Genomic DNA, 21,852 nt, shown 5'->3' with positions numbered 1-21,852 from the left:
TCTTCCGTTCTTCCTGGGGGCAGCCCCAAGACAAACTCTCTCTCTCTCTGTCACACACACACACACACACACACACACACACACACACACTCAGAGCTCTAGGGTCAGCAGCGTATCTGGTCAGGGGAAATCACAGACATATGTCCCTGGATGCTATACGAATGCAGGGAGTTATCCTCAGAATAGAGAGGTGTCGGGACCTTCCAGGGTTTGAACCTGATAAACAGGAGTTGTTAATATTGACTTCATCTCTGAACAGCTTCGTGAGCTGGGATAGGTTAATGCCCCTTGTGAAGCCTCAGTTTTCTCATGTGCAAAGTGGAGATTGTAACATGCACTTTACAGAGTTCTTTGGAGGGTTCCATGAGGTGCTAGAGTGCCCTGCAGTGGTTTTCAAGCTGCTGTGAAGTCTTGGGGCTGTTTGGACCTGTCTCAAGGCCACCATGGGAGGCTAGGGAGAGAGCATGGGGCTCCAGACTCCTTCTCCACTCCAGCCAGAGCAGCTCCACTTGTATCTGCTTTATATGCAGGACTTTCCTATGAAGTTCCCTTTAAACAAAGGGCTCCATGGCTCCAAAAAGTTGGAAAATCACCCCGTTGGCACTGGTGTGCTGCGTCCTGATGCCTGGCACAGAGAAGGTGCTCAATCATCATTTGCTCCTTGCTCTTTGCCAGCCTGTCAGGCCCGGGAGCTCACTGGGGGCAGGGTGCTGGCCTGGGGAGGAGCCTGGGCTCCAGGCACTTGTACTGAATGTGCCAGAGCAAGGCAGAGACAGACAACCAGGGGCTGGAGACTCCAGGATAGCCTCTGAGCAGATTCCTACCCGGAGTCCCTAGCTCCCACAGCAGTGTTGGTGACAGCTGGGTGTGTGTGCGCGTCTGTGTCCCAGTGTGCGTGGATGTAATGCTTGTGGGTATCTGTTGTGTCTATATGTCCCTGTGTATATGTGTGATATACATATATGTATATGTATATATGTGTATATGTATGTATGTGTCTATGTGTCTGTGTATGATGATGTCCGGTCTTTGTGTGTATGTCTGTGTGTGTGTGTGTGTGTGTGTGTGTGTGTGTGTGTGTGTGTGTCGGGTGTGAGGACTCAGCCCCTTGCCTTGTTTCCCTGAAACCCACCAGGAGGTTTGCATCATAGATCCTTCGCCTCCACCTCCAGTAGTCAGAATTATCTGTTATCTCTATTACCATAAGTAATTACCATGGGTAATCACGAATAATCCGGCCCAGGGATCCTGGGTACCCTCCAGGGATCGAGACATACAGCCTTAGAGGAGACTGCAGGGGAGGGGCTGGGATCCAGGAGCACCTGGGGTTGCCCTGGGGGAGCACCACAGACCCATCAGCCTGATCAGATGTATATTGAGCTCCATTGTGTGCCACAGCCTTGGGTGAACACACACACACACACACACACACACACACACACACACACACACACACACGCAGAGTCTGGGCTAAAGGCTGGAGCTCCTTGCCTCCCTAAAGGTGAGGCAGTTGGCGTCCAGTCTTGCCCTGCATCCATTTCCATCACAGTGTTTATTGACCATGTGCCAGGCATTGTGCTAAGCACAGGGGAGACAGTAATAAAATTACTGCCTCTACAGAGCTCCCCGACCGCCCGAGTGCAGCCTAGAATGCGCTCATGAGTTCACCGATCAGTCATCTCCCCATACCATCTGCCCTATTATGCGTTCTAGAATGCCCAGGATGGAGGAGGCCTTTTTGTCAGGAGCAAGGCTGGAGTGGAGCTATGCCAGGCCCAGAGCTGGCCCTGCGAACCCTGAGCCAGCCAAGCCTCGCCCAGGCCAGCTGCCCTGGTGCAGGGGTGCAGGCACAGACTGGCACAGGCAAGCACAGGCTGTCATCAGCAGGGGCTGGTCCTGCAAGGCACCAGCACATGGGGGAGTGGACCACTGGGGGGTTCGGGGGCACCAGGGGGAGTTGGCTGAATTGTCAGTCCCAGGAAACAAAGGGCCTGGGGGACAGCTGGGGGACAGAAGGCTATGAGTGGGGCTCCAACACACGACAAGGTTTTCTGGGATAAGGCCCCCCGCATGGAGCCAGTCAAAAAATAAAAGGTACACCCTCCACCCCAGAGTTCTCCCTACTGGGATGCCCAGCTCCTGGCCCTGAATCTGTCTCCCCTTCTCCCCAGTAATGGAGATTGGAGAGCAATGAGAGATTTGGCAACTTCCGATGGATGGTGGTAGCAAAGGGGAGTTCAGAGCCCAGCTGTGGGCAGAGACTAAGTGATTTATTATCAGCCTACAAAGTACTTGAGGAGCCCTTCAGGCCCCCGCTTGACCTCTATCCTATAAAACAGCACACTGGTTAACAGGGCAGGCCATTGAGTCAACCTGCCTGCTGCTGTCTAGCTAGTATAACCCTAATAAAACTAACTAGTATAACCTGGTTATCACAGTCGTTACTTAACCTCTCCCAGCCTCACTCTCCCATCTGCAAGAATGGGATGAGAAGGGCAGGACCCGCCCCATGGGGCTGCTGTGAGGTCAGCACCATCACAGGCTCATAGTGAGTGCTCAGGAAAGATCAGATCTTAGAACTGAGAAATCTCACAGCCGTGTGTCCGCAGCCACTGTGCCTGTCTGGCTTACTTCTATACAGTCACAACGTCCAGGCGGCACTCATATGTATTTAGGAGACTGACAAACCCACAATCTCCTGGGCAGGTGCCTCCCTCCTCTTACGCCTCAAAGGTGCAATGGTCATAGGTAAGCACTAGCACAGCACCCCAGACTAGGGCACAAGGACACAGCCCCCATGCCAGAGTTATACCTGGTACAATGTGCTCAGGGGGTCACGCGGCCAGGACAGGCACTCCCAAGCAGGTACTCCTTCTCAACAGCCCTCACCTCCTGCCTGATGGGATCTAAGATCAGTACCTTTTCCTTTGCCTAAGACAAGAATTGCCTCCTGGGACAGCACCATCATCCTCCAGGAAGGTCTGAACCATCCCCATGCCCCTCTGGTCAGTACAGGGCTCTGTGGTGGCGTGGGTGAGGGCTGCTAGGATCTCAGCGGGCCAGGCCAGGCTGCAGCTGGCAGGGGTGGGGTGAAGGATTGTGACTGAGGGGTCTCTGTGGTACCCTGAGCTGGAGACATCCTTAGGGCAGAAATGGGGACATAGGGACCTCCTCAGCCCCAATGGGGACCAGGGGTGTCGTGCAGCCCCGTCCTTCCTTAGTCCCCTCTGTGAGCTGCTCAGCTCTCTCTGCAGGCTCTTTGTGATTGCAGCTGCTTCCCCGAGGCCCAGCCCTGGTGCTGACGTGCCCTCTGGGGAGAGCTGTGGCTCCCAGGCTCATGGATTTGTTTGATCTTCTAGCATTGGGCAGGGGGGAGTCTGGCCCTTGATCTGAGCCTAGAGTCTTTGCCCCTGCAAGAGAGACCTACTCTAACAGAGAGACCCTTTAAAGTAGGGAGTGGACAGAAGAAGAGAGGCTTCCATCCTCCTGGGAAGCTCAGGATCAGAAGCCAGCCACCCCCAGACCTTAGGTTTTCCTACTTGCCTGCCCTGCTCTGTGTGTGGTGTGAGGCAGTGAGTGAGGGCTTTAGAAGGATCCCTTTTTGAGATGCCAGGCGTAAGAACAATGGTTTCAACTTGTTTCTGAAAAAGCAAATCAGGAAGAAAATTTCCTCGTGCATTAGCAGAGCAATTTCTGCTTGTCCCCCAACTCTGCTGCAAGGAGGCTCCCCCCAGTTCCTAGACAGCTTCCTCCAGGGTGGCTCAGAGCTTAAGCCTGGTGGGGGTGAGGTCCAACCTGCTCCTCCTCTCAAGCTAGTTTCCTTTGGATTTGGGGTCCAGATTAACTTCACCTCTTGGGCAGCACTGCAGGAAGGCTGCCCTCCAGCCAGGCACAGGGTGGGAGAACCCCTTGGTCAGGGTGTTCAGGGTGGCAGGCACTGAGAAGATGTGGGCTTAGGCTGGAGGAAGCCCAGCAGGTTTGACTAGATGGGTGTGTGTGAGGGGCTGGGGTTGACTTCCCCACCTACGTAGTGAACTGAATGTCTCATTAGGTAAAAAGGACACTGAGATGCGTTTGGGCCTGAGTGTGTCCTGGGATGGGAGGTGTTCAGGTTTTGGATGAGAATATCACACTCCTTGCTTTTGTTTGCATTCTCTTTGGTAAACAAAGAAACATGGGCTAATCTTGTAGCAAGGAATCATCAAACTAAGAAAGGACTTACTCTAGGATGGTTACCGTCAGGATACGGAGCCCACAGAAACTCCCATAAATGTTCCAGGTTAGCAACAGCCTCTGGGTGGTTTGTTTAGATTGGGGTTGTAGTCCTGAAGGATGAGGGGGTGGCCAGCATGCATGAGGGGATGAAAAGGATGTCTGCCTTCTTATGGATTCCTGAGTCACATCCACCTTTTACCATTTGAAAGAGGATTACTAGAAGTTGGAAGAAATTTACAGGGTCAGCCAGCCCAACCTTTGCCTCTAGGCAGGACTCTCTAACCTTGGACCAGACCCCAGTTCTCCACACCATCCTTAGAGTCATCTGAAAGGAGACTGCCCCACCTCCTCATGGCTCACTCTTCTAGCCAGGAAGTGTCTCCTGCAGTCTAACTTAAGTCCCTCTGGCTTCCCTGGCATATTCTTTGCTCTGGTTCTTCCTCCCCTGCATATCAATCACCTCTTCTCCAACCCCCTGGTTCTGCCCTAGGAATCCCTCCAAAAATACAAATACCACCCACACTCAGGCTTAGAGATTGTCTTTGAAATACGCTTTCTCACCAACGTTTGGCTCAAGGAGGTTTCTGAAGAGGGCACCATGCATCCTCCAAACCACCCCAAATGCGTTGCTTCCCTGGTGACTTTAGAGGCAGAAAGGATGCCTTGGGGTACACCTGTCTATGTACATGCTCCTAAGGAGTAAGTTTGGTCAGCCAGAGACGAGATGTGCAATCACCCCGTTAAGCACAATTCCTCGGAGGCCCATCCCACATGTGTCTCTATTTGAACAACTGCTGGCAGAGAAGGTGCTGGAATGGAGTTGCATAAGGAGTGAAATCTGGCAGGGGAAATGGTGGCGGCGGGAGGCTGAGGGCTGAAGCCGGTGGAGTACACGCGATGAGAGAAGGGAGTGCGAGGAAAGAAGGAGTAGAGGAAGGGAGGAGAGTAAGAGAGAAAGAGCCGGGAATGAGAGCAGACTCCTGGAGTCTGAGGCACTCATCTGCATAAGGAGTGTGCCTCTGCTTCCCTCACCGCTCATGGTGTGAGCACAGTGGTCTCTGCACCTGTGAGGCAGGTGGACCTTGGGTGACTTTGACATCATCAGGTCAGGGGCCCTTTCCTGTCTGTCTCACCTCCTGCCTCCCTCTTATTCGCTGAGGACTTCCACGGGAGATTAGGAAGGACTCTGACCTTGTGGCAAAAGCCCTGTCCATGGTTCTGCAGCTTGGCTAGAAAGGGGTTAACTGGTGGGCACCCTGGGGAGGGGCTTGGATGCTGCTGTCTTTAAGGGGAGAGCTCCCTTCTCCCAAGGCCAGGAGTGAGGGCACCTGTTGTGACCTCCAGGCCATCTCCCTGTCCAGGTGCGATCACAGCAGCCTCTCCCACAGGTGGCCCACCTTTTGCTGCACTCGATCTCCAGTGGCTCATCCGGCCCCTCTGAGTGGGACCAGGAGGTAGAGAGACTCGGAGGCTAAGTGAGCTGAGGCGTCTTTGGCCAGACGGTTGGGAGAGGAGGCCGAAACTGTTGCCCAGACGAGACCAGAACATCACCTGTGCACTGGGTTTCTTGGGCTGTTCCTCCTCCCAGCTCCTTCTGAGCAGAGGGAAAAGATGCTGAAACCCACCTTTCTCCAGGGCTGGGGCCATGGCATGCACAACCCCACTCCCTCCTGGCCTCACTGGACCCCCCCCCCCAGGACACAGGCTCAACCCCCAGGGGTCTGGGGCTAGAGGGTGCCCGTCTCCATCCCCAAGTAGCAGCAGGATTCTCCCCTTCCATAGGCACTGCCTTCTCCATGCCCCGCTGCTTCCCAGACCTGAGAGACCCTCTTGGAGAAGGTGACAGGATTCAGCTCTGGACACTCACTGGCTGGGGCTGCCCCCCACCTCCAGCCCATTATGTAAGCCCCACGGTGCTGGGCAGAAGGATTGCCCTCTCTTTCCAGAACTCCCCAGCTCTGCCCCTTCCCTTCCCCATACCATTCTGGCCCCAGCCCCTTTCCTTACTGGAAAGCCAAACTTTGTGCAAATTCTTCCCTCCCACCAGTGAGGATGGGGGGGAGGGATTTGAGGAGAAGCTAAGGTTGGGAGGGGGAAGGGAAGGAAAGGAATTTCAGCCCGGTAGCCCCAGCCTCTCGCCCTTTGGGATGTGACTGGCCTCAGGACTCTCCTCCCCGAGTCCCAGTTCCTGGACAGGCCCTTGCCCAAACTTGTGCTCCACTCTCCCCTCTCTCTTCCACAGCCCCCCTCTCCATCCAGCTGAAGCAAGACTTTGCAAAGAGGTCACCCTGCAGAGGTAGACCCTGGGTGACCTCAAAACTGGGGACTCCGGCTCAATTCCATGCAGGGACTTCTGGGGCAGGCCAGGGCCCAGGGCCTGGCTGTATGGACTGGTCCTGTCCTGGACCGGGTGCCCAGGGCCGGCCCAGGAGAAACTGCCCTCTCCACAGGCAGCTGCCACTGCCCGCTGGCCAACTGGAATTCCTGGACACACTCCTGGGGTCCAGCTTTTCGGCCAGGCTCGGCCTGAGAGAGCCCTGCGGGATGCCGCCCACGTAGACAGGGCGGAGGGGAGCCCCAGCACCCACCCTGGGGCTGAGGGGAGAAGTCAGAACGGCCCCAGCCTGCCAGTGTTCCTGTCCCTGTTCCCTCCCAAGTTACAAGGGGGATATTTACAGGAACTGAGCCGGGAGCCCCGGCCCATAACAGCACGCAGGGAAGTCCCTGGGTTGGAGGAGACAAAAGCGGTTGGCACCTACCTGGGGCGAGAGAAGGGTGTTGGCTGGGGCAGGTGGATGCTGCCCGAGTCGGTGAGCCGGGGCCGGCCGGGCCGCCAGCCCCTGTCTGGGCCGCTGTCCTTTGGGCCCTGGCGGCCTCAGCCGCTCGCTGTCCGGGTGCGGCGGCGGCCGCGGCGGCGGTGGCGGGTGAGGGCGCGTGTGTGTGAGCGCGCCCGGAGCCACTGCAGCATCTCTGCATCAAGATGTGCTCCTCCCTCTCCCAGGCTCCGCTCACTGGCTGGCTCTGGTCCTCAGCCAACGCTCGGGGGCCCTGGAGATGGCTTCCTTCTGCCCCCCTCCCACCCCACTTCCGTCCCCACCCTCCTGGCTTTACCTCATTTGCTGTCATTTAAGGACCAGGGAGCGAGCCCAGCGCGCGTCTTCCATAATGCATGGGCCGCTCATGGACAGGCCGCGGGGCGCTGTCTGGCCCGCCTGCCCTCCCGATCCTGCCCAGCCCCACTTCTAGTCCCCCTGCCCAGGGCTGAAGGGGCAGGAGAGGGGCGGGGTGAAGAGGGAAAAGAAAGTGGCTCTTACTCCTCAAACCCTGGAGACCCATGGAGCCAAAACTCCTGGTTTCCCCAGAAATCCCCTATCCGAGGAAGAGATCCAAATCAGAAATCCCAGCTTGCTGTGTGGGGCAAGTGGCAGGGAGGGGCTGTCTCTGTTGCCCGGTCCACCCCATGTTCCTCTTTATTGTTTCCCTTGTTCAAAAGTAGTTTGAGCTTTTTGTCAAAATATCTAAATATTAGAGGACATTTAAAAATACATAGTGAAAGTCCCTCAACCACTACTCTTAATAAATCTAAGTACATGCCCCCAGGTTTATTATTTTCGTGTATACAATTACATGGGTTAGTAGGGTTATTTCACACAAATGTGATTACATAAAACAGTAGGATTGGCCAAAGACTTTTAACTGTGTAACTGATCTTGGACACTTTTACGCATCAGTACGTTTGGATCCAATCCCATTTTTAAGCAACCAGCAGTGTGATGTCATGAAAAGCTCCCTGGATTAGGGGTCTGGGTGTCTGAAGCATACTCTGGGCTCCACAACCGACTGGCTGTGTGTGCTTGGCTAGGTGCCCTGCCCTCTCTGAGCCTCGCTGGTACCTGAAGGGATTAAAGATGGACACAGTCCTGCCAGCTCTGAGATTCTAAGTGCTCACCCTTGTCAGCGATGCCTTTCTCCTGCCCTGCTCCGGTCACGTGGGGGAGTGCCCAGGAAGGCTGTGGCCCGGAGGCGGAGGGACCAGCCATCTGCGGCACCAGTCGGCCCTGTCAGGCTGTCACTGTTGTCTCACCCCCCTCTGATCTGCCTGCTGTCCAGCTTGCACAGGCAAGACCGGTGAGCAGTCCAGATGCTGCAACAGCTGGCAGGGCCAGGCCAGCCTCCCAGTTTTAAATGGCTATACCTGTCAAGCCTGGATCATGGCTCCATGTCTCCCTGAGTGGAGGAGGTCCTGGGGACCTGGGCCAGAATGAGAGGGTCTGGAAAAGGAGAAGGAGTCGGGGAGGTTCTGCTGCTCAGCCTCCAAGGCTGGAATGTCTGCCCAGGTCCCACATGCGCTCCCCTCCTTTCCTTCTGAGCCCCTCCAAAGGGCTTGCCCAACTTGAGAGATAGTCTTCTTTGTTCCTGATGGGGAGGACTTGGATTTTGCTAATGATGTTTCTTAAATAATGTTGAATGCTGTTATATAGACAGACACATCAACCCCTTGCCAGGATATCTTTCCCTTCCTTCCCCTGCCCACACTGTCCTTGCCTATCTGTATGTCTGAGGGCTGGCACATTGGCTCTGAGCTCCTGAGGTGAACCTTGCTCTTTGGCACCATTCAAGTCAGCCTGGGCTCCAAAGAGAGGCTCTGCAAGTTCTCTCCTAGCAGAAAACGGCAGGAACAAGTCCTTGCCAAGAAAAGGATGCTATGTCTGCTGCAGGGGGCTGACGGGCCAGGAAATAGGCTGGCCCAGGAACCAACAGTCTGGAAATGCTTGCAAGGATTGCTTTAGACGGAGACAGCTGTCTTTGTGACTCTATTTTAGGACAGCTGCTGCCCTGTGGTGGGAGCTGGGTCTCTGGGGAGGGTCGTTAGCACAGGTGACTTGGGTCTTAAAGACTCTCAGATCTCAATGCAACCAGCATGCTCCATGTGGACTCTGGCAGACACAATAAGTGAAAACAAGAACATTTGCCAAGCCTAGACTTGGATGGGGAGACAGTTCCCAAAGTCTCATCTTCTCACTTGTCTGAAGCTCTCAGTGAAGTCTAGTATGAATGAGTTTGGGGAGATTAGGGGGATCTGCACTCCCAGTCTCTGAGATGCTCCTGTTCCTGAGGAGAGAGTGGGGTGGGCATTTGGGGGTGCAGGCTGAGTTTTGCTTGTGGGGCCCATTAGCTTGATAATAACAGAAATAATATCTGTTTTGAATGCCTCCCACATGCCGGGAGCTGTGCTAAATGCTTTACCTGAATTACTTGCGCAAGAGGTCCATGTTGTTATTATCCTCACTTTTCAGATGTTGCTCAGTAAGAGTAAGGAACTTGCTCAAAAGAAATAGTAAACAAGTGGAACCCTGGGCAACGTGGCGAAACCCCGTCTCAACAAAAAACACACAAAAATTAGCCAGTGTGGCAGTGCACACCTGTAGTCCCAGCTACCTAGGAGGCTGAGGTAGAAAGATCACCTGAGCCTGGGAGGTTAAGCCTGCAGTGAGCTGTGATCGTGCCACTGCACTCCAGCCTAGATGACAGAGTGAGGCCTGGGATCGGCCTCCAGCATCCTGGCTTAGCCACCGTGCCATGGACTCCAGCTACCTACTGTCTGTTCTTTTGAGGTGGGCAAAATAGGGGGCAGAACAGTTTCTTCTTCTTTGGTGACATCCAGAGCCCACAATCTTCAGTGCAGCTGACCATAAGGGCCACCTCTCCTTTCTGTGGCTGATCAATATGACTCCATGTTGTCCAGAGCTGGGACTCCACATCTCAAAGTTGAGTCCCCACAGACTTTCAAACAGGGCAAGAAAGGGCCAGTGAAGATAATCAGGTGGCTAGTCAAATGGCTTATAAATTTGTCCGCAAACATGTGGTGCTCCCTTGGTGGTGGTGGGTGGGGATCAGAAAGCATTTTGAGGGCCACCCAACCCTGCCCAGACCATCTGCTTCTTCCTACTGTAGCCACACAAGATTGATAGCAATGGAATCCAGTGGGTCTCTAACCGATCAAGAAGGGACCTCTAGGCCCCATCCCTGGGGACAAGTGGGGAGGAGATGAGACCCTGCCATGGCCCCAGGATGCTGCAGCTTTGCTGTCTCTTTCCTCACCACTCCCCCGCCTCACCTCTCCTTTCCTGGCCTCTCCCGCCACCAGCATCTTTGCCCAGACCCTTTTCCCAGGAGGCCATGTATTTATGGAGCAGCTCCTCTGCCTGGAATGTAGGGATCCAAGAGCCAGGGGATGCGGTCTTCAAAGTGCCAGTGACCTTTTTGGAAGCAGTGTGACAGTGGTAACAGGACTGTCCATCCACAGCTCTGGGGAAAACTGATATGGCCATAAGGAAAAGCTCTGCAGACAGACCCGTTTGACACCCAGTCCTGCTACTGAGGAGATGTGAGGCCATGGGCAAGCCACATACCTCTTCACCCAGAATATGGGGATGAAGACACATACCTCACTGAGTTGATGTGAGTGTTGAGTTACACGTGAAGTAGCTAGCACAGCAGGTGCTCAATAAATGTCAGTATTTCCCTTTTGGGATTTAGCCTCCCTCATCTGTAAAACAAGGATATGAGGCAGAGCAGTAAGGGCTGCAAGTGGTTGGGGTGGCTCTGGATTTGTAGTCAAGAGAACTGGACTCTGTCCCAGCTCTGTCACTCCTACCTGGATGACTCTGGGCAAGTAACAGAATGACACTTAATCGCCCAGATAATCCATTTCTTCACCAGTAAAATAGGAATGATCCTACTCCTATCTAGGATGGTAGTGAGGATATGTGAATTAAACATAATGGTTTTTAAAAGCACTTTGAATTGCAAAGTGCCATATCAAATACTGATGGCCATTCCCTCAGCTATGCAGTCCAAAAGGTAGGGATTATCTCATCAGTCCGTATTCTCCCAGTCCCCCACCCTCCTGTTTAGCACAGTGCCTGGTGCATGGTGGAGACTCAATAAATATTTGTTGACTGGGTGAATGAATGAAGGAGAGTAGCTATAGTAACCATTCAGAGGATGAGGAGAGAGGGAGGTAGGATGTGGGTGAAGCTTTCAGTGGGGGTGGGTGGGTGCATCTTGAATTGAGCCTGGATGGACAGAGAGGAGGTGGGGAATGTGTTTCTGGCATGGGGGCATGTGGTGTGGCAGGAGCCAAGATGTGGGGCCTGGGAAGGCCATGATTTGTGTAATGCCTGGAGAAGCCAAGTTGACCTAGCAGGGGTGCTGGAAGGAAGATCTCAATGCCCTGTCTGCATTTGCCTTCCTAATTTCATGTGAGGGCCCAGAGGGGTCTGTGGCCTGGAGGGGCCTAATTATTCTCTTTGCCATTTCAACCCAGGGCTCTTGCAGCTCCTTTTTCAGGCTTATAATAGATGATGCTAATGTCATTATTAATATTTAATAGTAATGATGCTAATAATGCCCTGCATTTATGTGGTCTCTCCAAAGAGCTCAAAGAACCCTGAGTTCTTTTTTTATGAAACAATTTGGCTGGTGTGGAAGGTGGGAGGGCAGGAGGGCAGGACAGTAGAGAGGGATTGAGTCACAAAGAAAGCAAAGCCAGAAAGGTGAAATGATTGGGCCAAGGTCACAGAGCAGTGGAGGTGGGGCTGGGCTAGGACTGGGTGCGTGGGTTCCCTGCCTGGAGCTCTGTCCTTGACTGCCCCAGGTCATCTGGGTTTAAGGAGGACGTTCCTGGTGGGGACATCTTTTGGTCCCGGTAAAAGCCATGCCATCCAGAGGATATGACAGAACAGTCTTGGGGGCAGCTGTGACCCTGGAAGTGGGCTGGGCTGAAGAGTCGATAACCTTTTGCTCTGTCTGCCCTTTACTAAGCCTGCCCGGGGTGGCTAATAGGCAGCCATGGAACATGGGAGCTGGAAGGGGCAGGTGGGGACATTGGAGTCCTTTACTAGATTCTGCAGGCCTCCCTGAGCCTTAGGCCAGACCCCTGTTTTCCAGGATCTCTGGGTGTCTGATGTACAACCTCTTGGAAGCAGTTTCAATCAGCCCACGTCAATGTGGAATCTCGGGGCTGCTGTGTAGCGTTACACAGGGAGCTCCTTCATGAAGAACAATGTCAGTGGTGCCCCCGGGAAGGAGACAGTGCAGAGTGGTTGGAAGGCCTTGGAGTCAGACAGATCTTGATTCCAATTCCACCCACCTTATTGATTGGCTGTGTGACCATAGGCTTCTAAGACTCAATTTCATCATCTGTAAAGTGGAGGAGAGGCTCTGCTTCAGAGAGCTGCGTGGATCAGCCGAGGCGAGGTACACATACATGTTGGACAGTGGAGGAGGCAGCGGGCATTTCAAGGTTCTGGCATCAGTGAAGGGAGTGTCCAGTGTGGGTGATGCCAGCGGTGGCGTCCTGGCTGGACGTTGCCCAGATGTGACCTCAGCCTGTCTCTGCTGGCTGGCCTGTGTTGGCTCCTGCCCATTTCTCAGTCGACTTCTTTAGTCTTTCCATTGATTCTGTGATCGACTTGATAGCCTTCTGGTGAATTCCATTTCTGTTTACAATGGCCAAAGTCTATTTATGCTGCCTGCAACTGAGAACCTAGACTGATTCAGGACTGAAAGCTTCTAGCACAGTGTTTGGCACAAAAGATGTGTTCAATAAACAATAACCAGAAATTGTTAGAAAATATGGTATTCATTCATCCATTCACCTATACCTACATACATTCATTTAACAAGCAAATGCCAAGTACCTCTTGTATCAGGTATTGCACCAAGTGCTGGGATACAGAGGAGAATAAGGCACGGTGAGTGCTCATGAGGAGCTCACAGTTTAATGGTGGGAATGACGTGTACAAATAATCAGAATCCAATCCTGCAAATGCTATAACCCAAGTTGGCACGAAGTATCATGGAGGGGCATCTGCCTTTGCCTGGTGAGGCTTGGGAATGAGAAAACATTTTAACTGTGTCTTGAAGGAAGACTCTGAGTTTACCAGGTAGACCAGGTGTTTGTGGTACGAGCTGGAGGAGGCAGGGAAGAGATGGTGCCAGGAAGAAGCAACAGCTTGTGCAAAGGTGACAGCATGGCAGATTTGAAAGGGAGTTGGTTAGCATGCCTGGAGTTGAGGGTGCAAGGAAGGGATGAGGCTGGAGGCGTAGGCTGTGGCCAGTCCACGATGAGCATTATAAGCCCTTGGGGCCTTTATCAAGGGCAACGGGGGAACAGTTGGAAGGATCTGAGGATGTAAGCAACACCTGCAAGGCTGAGACTTGTGTTTTGAAGAGTCTACTATGGGGCGGCAGGGAGGGTGGAGTGCACAGAACAGACGCCTACCTGGAGATCGGAAGGCTGACGAGTCAGGCATTGCAGCAGGTCGTAGATGAGGTGACATAGACCTGGAAGGGTCCTTCGACACGGAGCTCAGACCTGTGCTGGCCAGCCACAGGTCTTCACTTGGATGCCCATGGGCCTCTCATGTCACCACAGGATACTCAAACCCCCACCTGTGATGGTCAGTTTTATGGGTCAACATGGCAAGGCTATAGTACACAGTCATTTAATCAAACATGAATCTAGGTATTGCTGTGAAGGCATTTTGTAGACATGGTTAACATCTTCAGTCAGTTGGCTTTAAGTAAGATTATTCTCGATAATGGGGATAGTCTTCATCCAATCAGTTGCAAGGCCTAAGGAGCACAGAGGTTTCCCTGAGACGTAAGCAGTTCTGCCCCCAGCCTGCAGCATCAGTTCATGCCTGAGAGTTTCCAGGCTGCTGGCTTGCCCTACAGAAAACCGACTTGCCAACCCCCAAATTGTAAGTCAATTTCTTGAAATAAACTTCATAAACCCAATCATAAACCCTGATTGATACATACTTTCACCCTCTCTATCTGCTTCTCCTCCTGGGTTCCTTGCTGTATTAGTAACTTGGGCTGCTAACAGAATACCACAGACTGGGTGGCTGAAACAATGGAATTGTATTGCTCACAGTTCTGGAGGCTGAAAAGTCCAGGATCAAGGCATCAGCAGACAGTGTCTGGTGAGGGCTCCCTTCCTGGTGTGCAGATGGCCATCTTCTCATTGGATCATCACATGGCAGAGAGCAACAGAGCAAGCTCTCTTGTCTCTTCTTATAAGGGCACTGATCCCATTCATAGGAGCTCCACCCTCATGACCTAATTACCTGCTAAAGGCTGTGCCTCCTAATGGTATCACATTGAGGGTTTAGGTTTTAACATATTATTTTGTGGGAGACACCTGCCTCCATGAATGGCACCCTCCAAACTGTTCCATCTTCTGTGGCTCCTCTCTCTCCTCAACCCCACCCCCAAGTCCTGCCAACCACTCAGGCCTGCTGACTCTGTTGCCCCCGAAAGGCCTCTTCTATGTATCCTCTGCCTTCCCAGCCTTCCTCCCAGTCTTAGCTCTGGCCCTCCCTAGTTTTCACCTGCATTGTTACATCCTCACCAGGCCTTCCAGTCTCACCCCTCCCATTCACTCTCCAGATCCACAGTCAGAATGAGCTACCAAAGATGCAAATCAGATCCAGTTACTCTCCTGCTAAAAATTCTCCAGCATCTCTTGCCTCCAGGTAAGATTCCAGGCTCCTTCCCACGCCACACAGGGCTCATTGGGATAGTGTAGTCTGATCCTTCCTCAGTCTACCTTCTTCTCTTGCCTTCTCCTGACTTACTTCAGCCTGATTGACCCACTTGCCATTTCTGGAAGGGGTTGGACTCTCTCATTTCACTCTCTTTGTGCTGTTCCGTGCTTGTAATAGCACTTTTCTCTCTTATGTATACCTGGTTAAATTCCCCTGGCTCTCAAGATGTAGGCCAGCAGTCTCTCTCTCCAGGCCCGCTCTGGGCTCTCCCTGTAGGTGGTAGGTGACCCTCTGCAGTGCCCTTATCCCTTTCTAGGCATCCTGCCTACTAATCTCTATGTGGACGGGGTGTCTCCACCACTGCATCTTGTATCTTTGTACCCTGAGCATAGTGGCAAAGGCCCAATATATATTTGGGGTTTTTTGGTTTGTGTTTTGAGACAGGGTCTGGCTGTGTTGCCCAGGCTGGAGTGCAGTGGCTTGATCTCAGCTCACTGCAACCTCTGCCCCCTGGGCTCAAGCCATCCTCCTACCTCAGCCTCCCAAGTATCTGGGACTATAGGCATGCACTGCCATACCTGGCTGATTATTTTTGTTTTTTGTAAAGACAGGGTTTCACCATGTTGCCCAGGCTGGTCTCGAACTCCTGTGCTCAAGCGATCCACGCACCTCAGCCTCCCAAAGTGCTGGGATTATAGGCGTGAGCCACTGTACTCCACCCACTAATATATATTTGTTAAATGAATTGATGAGTGGGTCATTCTATTCCTCTCTGGGGGTTCACAATGGGGGTAGACAGGTGTTCAATAAACAATAACCAGAAATTGTTAGAAAATATTGTATTCATCCATCCATTCACCTATACCTACATACATCCATTTAACAAGTAAATGCCAAGTACCTCTTGTATCAGGCATTACACCAAGTGCTGGGATACAGCCTCACCCCTTCCTTGCACCCTCAACTCCAGGCATGCTAACCAACTCCCTTTCAAATCTACCATGCTGCCACCTTTGCACAAGCTGTTGCTTCTTCCTGGCACCATCTCTTCCCTGCCTCCTCCAGCTCATACCACAAACACCTGGTCTACCTGGTAAACTCAGAGTCTTCCTTCAAGACACAGTTAAAATGTTTTCTCATTCCCAAGCCTCACCAGGCAAATAAACAACCAATTGTGTTGGGGCACAAGTGGCTACTTCTCTCTCCACCCTGGGTGCCCTGGAGGCAGGACCAGTACCAACCTAAGTTGAGCAAATTACCCCAAAAAGCAGACGCAGAATTGCACCAGGGCACACAGCATGGAGAGGGAGCATGAGCCAGGTTTAACTCTTTATTCACTGCCTCAGCCAGGTGTCATCATGCAGGGCCCCTGGGAGAAGCTGTCCACCAGGGTCAGAGGATGAGCCTGAGCTGGCAGAGGCTGTGAGGTGGGTGCAGACCTCTCTGGGAGGTAGACTGAGGTCCAGGGCCACCTTTCTGGATCCCCAGCCTGTGTGTAGAGTCTGTGCTCAGAAGGGCCCCATGCTTGGTTTAATGCTTTTCTGCTGCTGTCTTGGAATTTACAATCACTTTTAAACAAGGGGCCTAGTATTCTCATTTTGCATTGGGCACTCACTGCAAGTTACGTGGCTGGTCCTGCTCAGGTCAGTGGGGTTTCCCCACTAAAAACAGTACCTGGAGTTACTGGGCCAAAGAATGATCTTCCTCCCTGTCCTAGAGGCGCAGGACTTCATTCACAACTTCAAACCCTGCCCTTGGCTTTGTTAATCTCCTAGGAGCCGGTCAACAGGGCCCCAGGTGTTTTGATCCCTCTGAGCTCCTGTAAGCCAGCGGCATAGAGTGTGCTAAGAATGCATTTTACATTTTTAAATGGTTGAAAAAATCAGAAGATGTCGCGACACATAAAAATCATATGAAATTGAAATTTCAGTGTTCATAAATAAAGATTAATTGGAACACAGCCACGCTCATTCATTTATATATTGTCTGTGGCTGCTTTTATGCCACATCGGCAGTCGAGTAGTTGCAACAGAGGCTGTATGAAGATATTCATTCAACAAAGCTGAAGATATTTACTATCTGGCTTTCTACAGAAAATGTTTGCTGATCCCTGGTTTAAGCCATGCCTCTGTCACCTGCAGCCTAGGAATCAGAAACCAGGGGGATGTCAGTCACTGACACTTAGGTGTTGGGTTTCTTTTTTGCCTTAGCTCAGTGGTTGTCAACTAGGGGGCCATTTGGCAAGGTCTGGCGGCATTTGTAGTTATCACAGTGGGAGTGTGTGTGGGGTAGAAGGTGTGTTGTTGGCATCTAGTGGGTAGAGGTGAGGACGCTGCTAAGCATCCTACAGTGCACAGGTCAGCCCCCACCACCTAAGAATTTCCCGGCCCGAAGGAGCCCCGTGCTAAAGCTTAGGGCAGGGCCAGGCCAGACTCCCAGTGGGTCTTATGGGCTGGGGAACTAGCCAGAACTTCACTGCTTTGGAATCAATGGAGCATTCCAAAGGCTGTATGTACCGAGGGAGGGGGCCCTGGAAAGGACCAAGCATGAGTCTTCTCCCTTCCTTGGCAGCCTGTGGCTCCTATACCTGCTAGGGGCCCTGGGCAGGCCTCAAATGGAAAACAGCCACTTTCCCTGCATTTCCCTAAGGAAGAGGATAGGTGCCCATCTGCTTGGCCAGGTGAGCTTGACCCCGGGAGGGGAGATGGCTATCGAGGCTGCCAACCGTGGTCATAGGAAGAGGTGCCAGGGGCCAGGGATGCAGAGAGGGAACTGGAGGTGCCCCCAGGGGACCAGGTGAGCAGGGTGTCCAACTCAGGCAGAAGGAACGTGAGGCTGGGAGAGCCTTGGGGAAAAGCTGGCACGGCTCCCACCCAACCTTCTGGAGAGTGAGAAGAACAGATGCTGTGGCTGTCAGATGAGATGCTCCTGGCACTTTGGGAAATGGCAGAATTAACAAAAGGACGGTTGCTTTCAGGGAACACAAGCAGGGGCGCAGTGTGTACAGCTGGGCTGGCCTCTGAGGACTCCTTTTCCTTGAAGGGCAAGGAGCAGAGGTCCTCTTGCCTGGCTTCTGGACTGGTTGTAGATTGGGGTGGTGGGGAGGGAGGATGGAGGCTGAGTCGTTGGACCTGGGGACAGAATGGGGTCAAGTTAGAGCCAGAGCCAGGGCCAAGGCTGTACATAGCTTGGAGTCTTGTAAATGGCAAGGCTGTCTGGAGGTCATCTCATCTATCCCTCTGCCTCTGGGTCCAGCCTCAGCAGATGGCATCTTGCCGGTGGAGGACCCAAGCAGAGGGGCCCTCAGCAGGAATGAGAATTCATCAGCTGTTACTTGCAAAGCCCCCAGAAGAAGCAGCCAGTTCTCTTTGGAAGCTGCATGGACAAAGAGGCACATGCCAGAGGGTCTGCAGGGAGCCTGCCTCTTCTCCTAGCGGAGAGTGGGCAATGGGAGTGATGGAGGCCGGGCACGGTGGCTCACGCCTGTAATCCCAGCACTTTGGGAGGCTGAGGCGGGAAGATCATGAGGTCAGGAGATCAAGACCATCCTGGCTCACACGGTGAAACCCTGTCTGTAGTAAATAATACAAAAAATTAGCTGGTGTGGTGGCGGGCGCCTGTAGTCCCAGCTACTCGGGACGCTGAGGCAGAAGAATGGCATGAACCCGGGAGGCGGAGCTTGCAGTGAGCTGAGATCGTGCCACTGCACCCCAGCCTGGGTGACAGAGTAAGACTCCGTCTCAGAAAAAAAAAAGAGTGATGGGAGCGGGTGTGGCCTCATCCTGGATGCTTACCTGACCTGGCGGAGAGGCGGGACGTTGTGATTAGCATTGTTTGGCTAGAGAAACTCAGGAAGATTTGGCATAGACTAGGCTAGCTGGGTCCCACTCAGAGGCAGGAGGATTAGACTCCATGCTCCTAAAATCCATTAAAAGAATAGGAAAAGAGAAGGAGGGTACGCGATTGCCCAAGTGTGGATGGTTTTAATTGCAATGCAGAGCTCATACAGACCCAAAGAAAACTCTTTCTAATGCTGAGGTGTGGGATGACAGATAAGAGGCCGGGGGTTGTGGCATTTTTCCCAGGACCTGCCTGCCTGGTCTGGTGGCCGCGGGCTGGCTAAAGTTCCCCTGGCCAGGGAGGTTGGGGTCACAGCTTTGTCCTTTCTGGCAGACCCATGGCTTCCTTGCTCCTGGAGCTGCAGCAGCTGAAGTATAGGGTGGGAGATGGGGCGGGGGAGCCAGGACTACCCTGCCCTCTGGAGGCCCTGGACATTAGCCCAGAGAGCCTTCAGCTGAGGAGGCTGCCTGCCCATCTGTGAAGTGCACTGGCCATGGGTTAAGCCCATAACTGGAGGGGTGAGCAAGGCCAGAGGGCAAGGGACAGCAGACGGCTCGGAGGGGTCACGGCCTCATTTGCTGGAGTGTCATCCCTCTCCCTGTCACAGGTCTCTATGGGGCCAGCTGACAGATGCGCCCTGGAGGAGGGCGGGGGGCCTCCTCCCCATGGCCGGCCTCCCCTCTCTCCTTCCCCCTTTCCTGCTGGCTTTCCCCGAAGCCACTGCATTGTTAGCTGCAGGCCTCCGGGGACAGACTTCAGATGGAGGGGAGCGGGTGTGTGTTTTGTTTTGTAGGAGGGAGTCTCTGAACCAAGAACCTATTTGGCTAATGAAGTCGTAATTACTCCCCGGCTCACTAATAGGATGAAAGCTGGGGACTCACTTAAAAGCCACTGATGGACCTGCGAGAGTGGTCTGAGGGCTCTGAGGAGGGGCTGGGGAATGGTAAATGGAAGGAGGTGCATGTCGGGGTTAGGGAGAGGGAAGAAAGGGGGTGTAGAGGCCCTGGTCTGGAGTCTGCTTCTGGGAACCAAAGTCACACCTACAAATTCTTCAGCTTAGCATGGGATGAGCTGCCTGAGATTTACCATCTTGCCTGTGCCTGCCTTCAACTTTCCCAAACTGGCCACAGCCCTAGCTGCCAGCTTTCATAGGAGGATCGTGGGCTGTGGAGGGTCTGGGGCAGCCGAAAATCCCAGATGATTGCTATTTGGCTTTGGAATGAGTCTATTTCTAAGTTTGTGTATTTTTTCCTCCCGGAAAAGCCCTCAGCTCTTTCAGATGAGGTCTGGTGGCCGTCATTTGAAATGTGAGTCTGCTTTCTCTGAGGACGCATTAGCTCATGTGGAAGGTGGGGGGGTACATTTGCTGTGCGGTATGGGAGCCAGTTTTGGATTTAGCACTTGGTGTGTGGAATCTGTAAGACAAGGGGACTGGACCTGGGCTTACTCCAGCCCTGACATTCCATGGGTCTGAACCACAGGCACATAATTGAGAGGGGACTAGGGGGTCTCCTGGGGTCCTGGGTGGGCCCTGTGCACGTTCCCCGCAGTCAGCCAGCGGCCTCACCCATGCCAGCCACACCAGGGCACGCCCTGCAGAAAACTTGGGAAGGAGGTTGATGCAGTAATTTGGAAGGAAAGATTTTCTGTGTGTTTTTTGCTTTTCACGGAGATTGTTGCTGGGACTCGGTAGGGAGAAGGATGGAAGACGTGAGCTCCTCTGGGTCTTAGGGCTGACTGCATTGATGTCGGTCTTCGCCAGACCATCTTTCCCTGAGGAGGGGTGTTGTCAGTGTTGAGAAGGAAGGAACCCCGAATGCCTATGGCCCGGAAGAAGCTCTAAGCTTGGGAGTCAGGCTCCTATATCTTGGTGTAAAATGACCCCAGAGAGGTAACCGCATCCACATCCATGGGGACCCAGTGCTGTGGGGCTTGTGAAAAGGACATTGGCTGAGTCCTGTCCTGGGGTCATTCTTGGGGCAAACCCAGGCCTTTGGACATCCAGCCTTATCCTCTTCTGCCACACGGGTTGTTGGGTGAGTTGAGGGTCATAGTGTGTCCTAACAGCCAGGCTGGAGCTAGAAGGAGCAGGAGGGAGGGAAGTGAAGGATGGACTGTCCTTTCTGATGAATGACGGTGGGTTGCTGGCCTTTAACGGGAGGCAAGAGCACTTAGGGGACTTGGGGAAAGTTAATTAATGGGGCTGTAGAGTGAACCCCAGCTCTCAACACTCATCACTGGCCCTTACATCCAGCCACTTGGAACCTGGTAAACTTGCTTTTAGGAAGAGAAATATTGCCTGCCCCCTCCTCATCCCTAACCCCTATACACCATGGACTAAACCACTAGCCGGCCAATAAATACAGTAACGCAGACAGCTTGAATACAAATGGGATCTGGTTACCCTGCAGGGACTGCGGGTCCCAAGGATCAGTCAACATGTATTTATGGACCCCCACACACTATGTGTGGGGCACAGGACTGGGGGCCACAAAGGTACAAGAGGCATAAAGTACTGGCCCTGCCCTCCGCAGGTTTGCAGCCTGGCCAGATACAGGAGAAAGTCTCTGCAATGTCAGACAAGTCCCTGCTGGAGGAGCAAGAAGGTTGAGAAAAGCTCTCGAGAGAGCTAGCCCCGTGGGCCAAGGGGATTATGAGAAATGGATTTGAGCCTGCTTTGAAGGATTGGGAGGGTTTTTGAAGGAGGGTGTCGAGTCTGGAAGAACATTTGGGTAGACAGCAGAGGGGAAAGTGTAAAGTGATTCATTCATTTATTTAAATGTAATACATTATTATATAGTGCTTCCTATGCCTCAGACACTTTTCACATTTCAATTGATTTGATCCTTACAACAACCTACAAAGTAGCTACAATGACAACCCTTATTTTGTAGATGAGGAAACTCAGGCAAAGAGAGGTTCAGTCAGTTGCCTGAGGTCACACAGCTAGTGCCTGACCTGTCTGCAGAGTCCTGGCTCTTACTTGGTACTTAGGGCACATTTGCAGAAAGCTGAGCACCTGTAATTTGCTGCCCCCTCATCATGTGACCACGAGCTGCATGGCACCCACAACCTTCTCCTGGGGTTTCCTGGGGCATTCAGGAGCCTGCACGTCCTGCTACCCAGAGCGGAGGAGGGGGGCGAACGGTTGCGGGGACATGTTGGAGAGTTGGCAGGGGCTGCTCTGGCATGATGCCTTTGAGGCACAGGCACCAGGGCTGATTCTTCACAGGGAGGC

The 21,852-nt window shown here is 53.0% G+C and overlaps 1 protein-coding gene across 6 annotated transcripts in view, besides 6 other annotated features; it reads right to left on the bottom strand.

The window, feature by feature from the left end:
- CNTN2 (contactin 2) overlaps positions 1-7,420 on the bottom strand; it is a 35,341-nt gene extending 27,921 nt beyond the window's left edge. For 4 of the 6 annotated variants that reach the window (NR_144350.2, XM_017002199.3, XM_047429102.1 and 1 more), the window contains exon 1: positions 6,975-7,157. The gene's annotated coding sequence lies outside the window, so the exon portion shown is untranslated. Of the gene's footprint in view, positions 1-6,974; positions 7,158-7,326 lie in introns of those variants that run through there. The other 2 variants (XM_047429104.1, NM_001346083.2) reach the window with 1 other exon arrangement.
- Positions 2,656-3,160: an enhancer, noted in NCBI's record as "H3K4me1 hESC enhancer chr1:205016337-205016841 (GRCh37/hg19 assembly coordinates)". NCBI's record gives its function as "activates a minimal SCP1, AML or CMV promoter by ChIP-STARR-seq in primed H9 embryonic stem cells {active_cell/tissue: H9 hESC(primed)}" and the evidence as "EXISTENCE:reporter gene assay evidence [ECO:0000049][PMID:30033119]".
- Positions 7,227-7,371: an enhancer, noted in NCBI's record as "145 bp 1:205012198 sequence used in MPRA reporter constructs". NCBI's record gives its function as "activates a minimal TATA-containing promoter with rs2071533 allelic activity by MPRAs in C283T melanocytes and UACC903 melanoma cells {active_cell/tissue: C283T | UACC903}" and the evidence as "EXISTENCE:reporter gene assay evidence [ECO:0000049][PMID:36423637]".
- Positions 7,227-7,463: a biological region, named in NCBI's record as "melanoma risk locus-associated MPRA allelic enhancers 1:205012106 and 1:205012198".
- Position 7,299: a transcriptional cis regulatory region, noted in NCBI's record as "rs2071533 or 1:205012198 MPRA-significant variant associated with a GWAS melanoma risk locus at 1q32.1". NCBI's record gives its function as "allelic transcriptional activity by MPRAs in C283T melanocytes and UACC903 melanoma cells {active_cell/tissue: C283T | UACC903}" and the evidence as "EXISTENCE:reporter gene assay evidence [ECO:0000049][PMID:36423637]".
- Positions 7,319-7,463: an enhancer, noted in NCBI's record as "145 bp 1:205012106 sequence used in MPRA reporter constructs". NCBI's record gives its function as "activates a minimal TATA-containing promoter with rs4951159 allelic activity by MPRAs in C283T melanocytes {active_cell/tissue: C283T}" and the evidence as "EXISTENCE:reporter gene assay evidence [ECO:0000049][PMID:36423637]".
- Position 7,391: a transcriptional cis regulatory region, noted in NCBI's record as "rs4951159 or 1:205012106 MPRA-significant variant associated with a GWAS melanoma risk locus at 1q32.1". NCBI's record gives its function as "allelic transcriptional activity by MPRAs in C283T melanocytes {active_cell/tissue: C283T}" and the evidence as "EXISTENCE:reporter gene assay evidence [ECO:0000049][PMID:36423637]".

The sequence above is a fragment of the Homo sapiens genome, chromosome 1 (assembly GCF_000001405.40).
Source record: "Homo sapiens chromosome 1, GRCh38.p14 Primary Assembly".
NCBI classification, from domain to species: Eukaryota; Metazoa; Chordata; class Mammalia; order Primates; family Hominidae; genus Homo; species Homo sapiens.
Note: the sequence above shows the minus strand (reverse complement) of the source record. Positions and strands in the feature narration are given on the sequence as shown.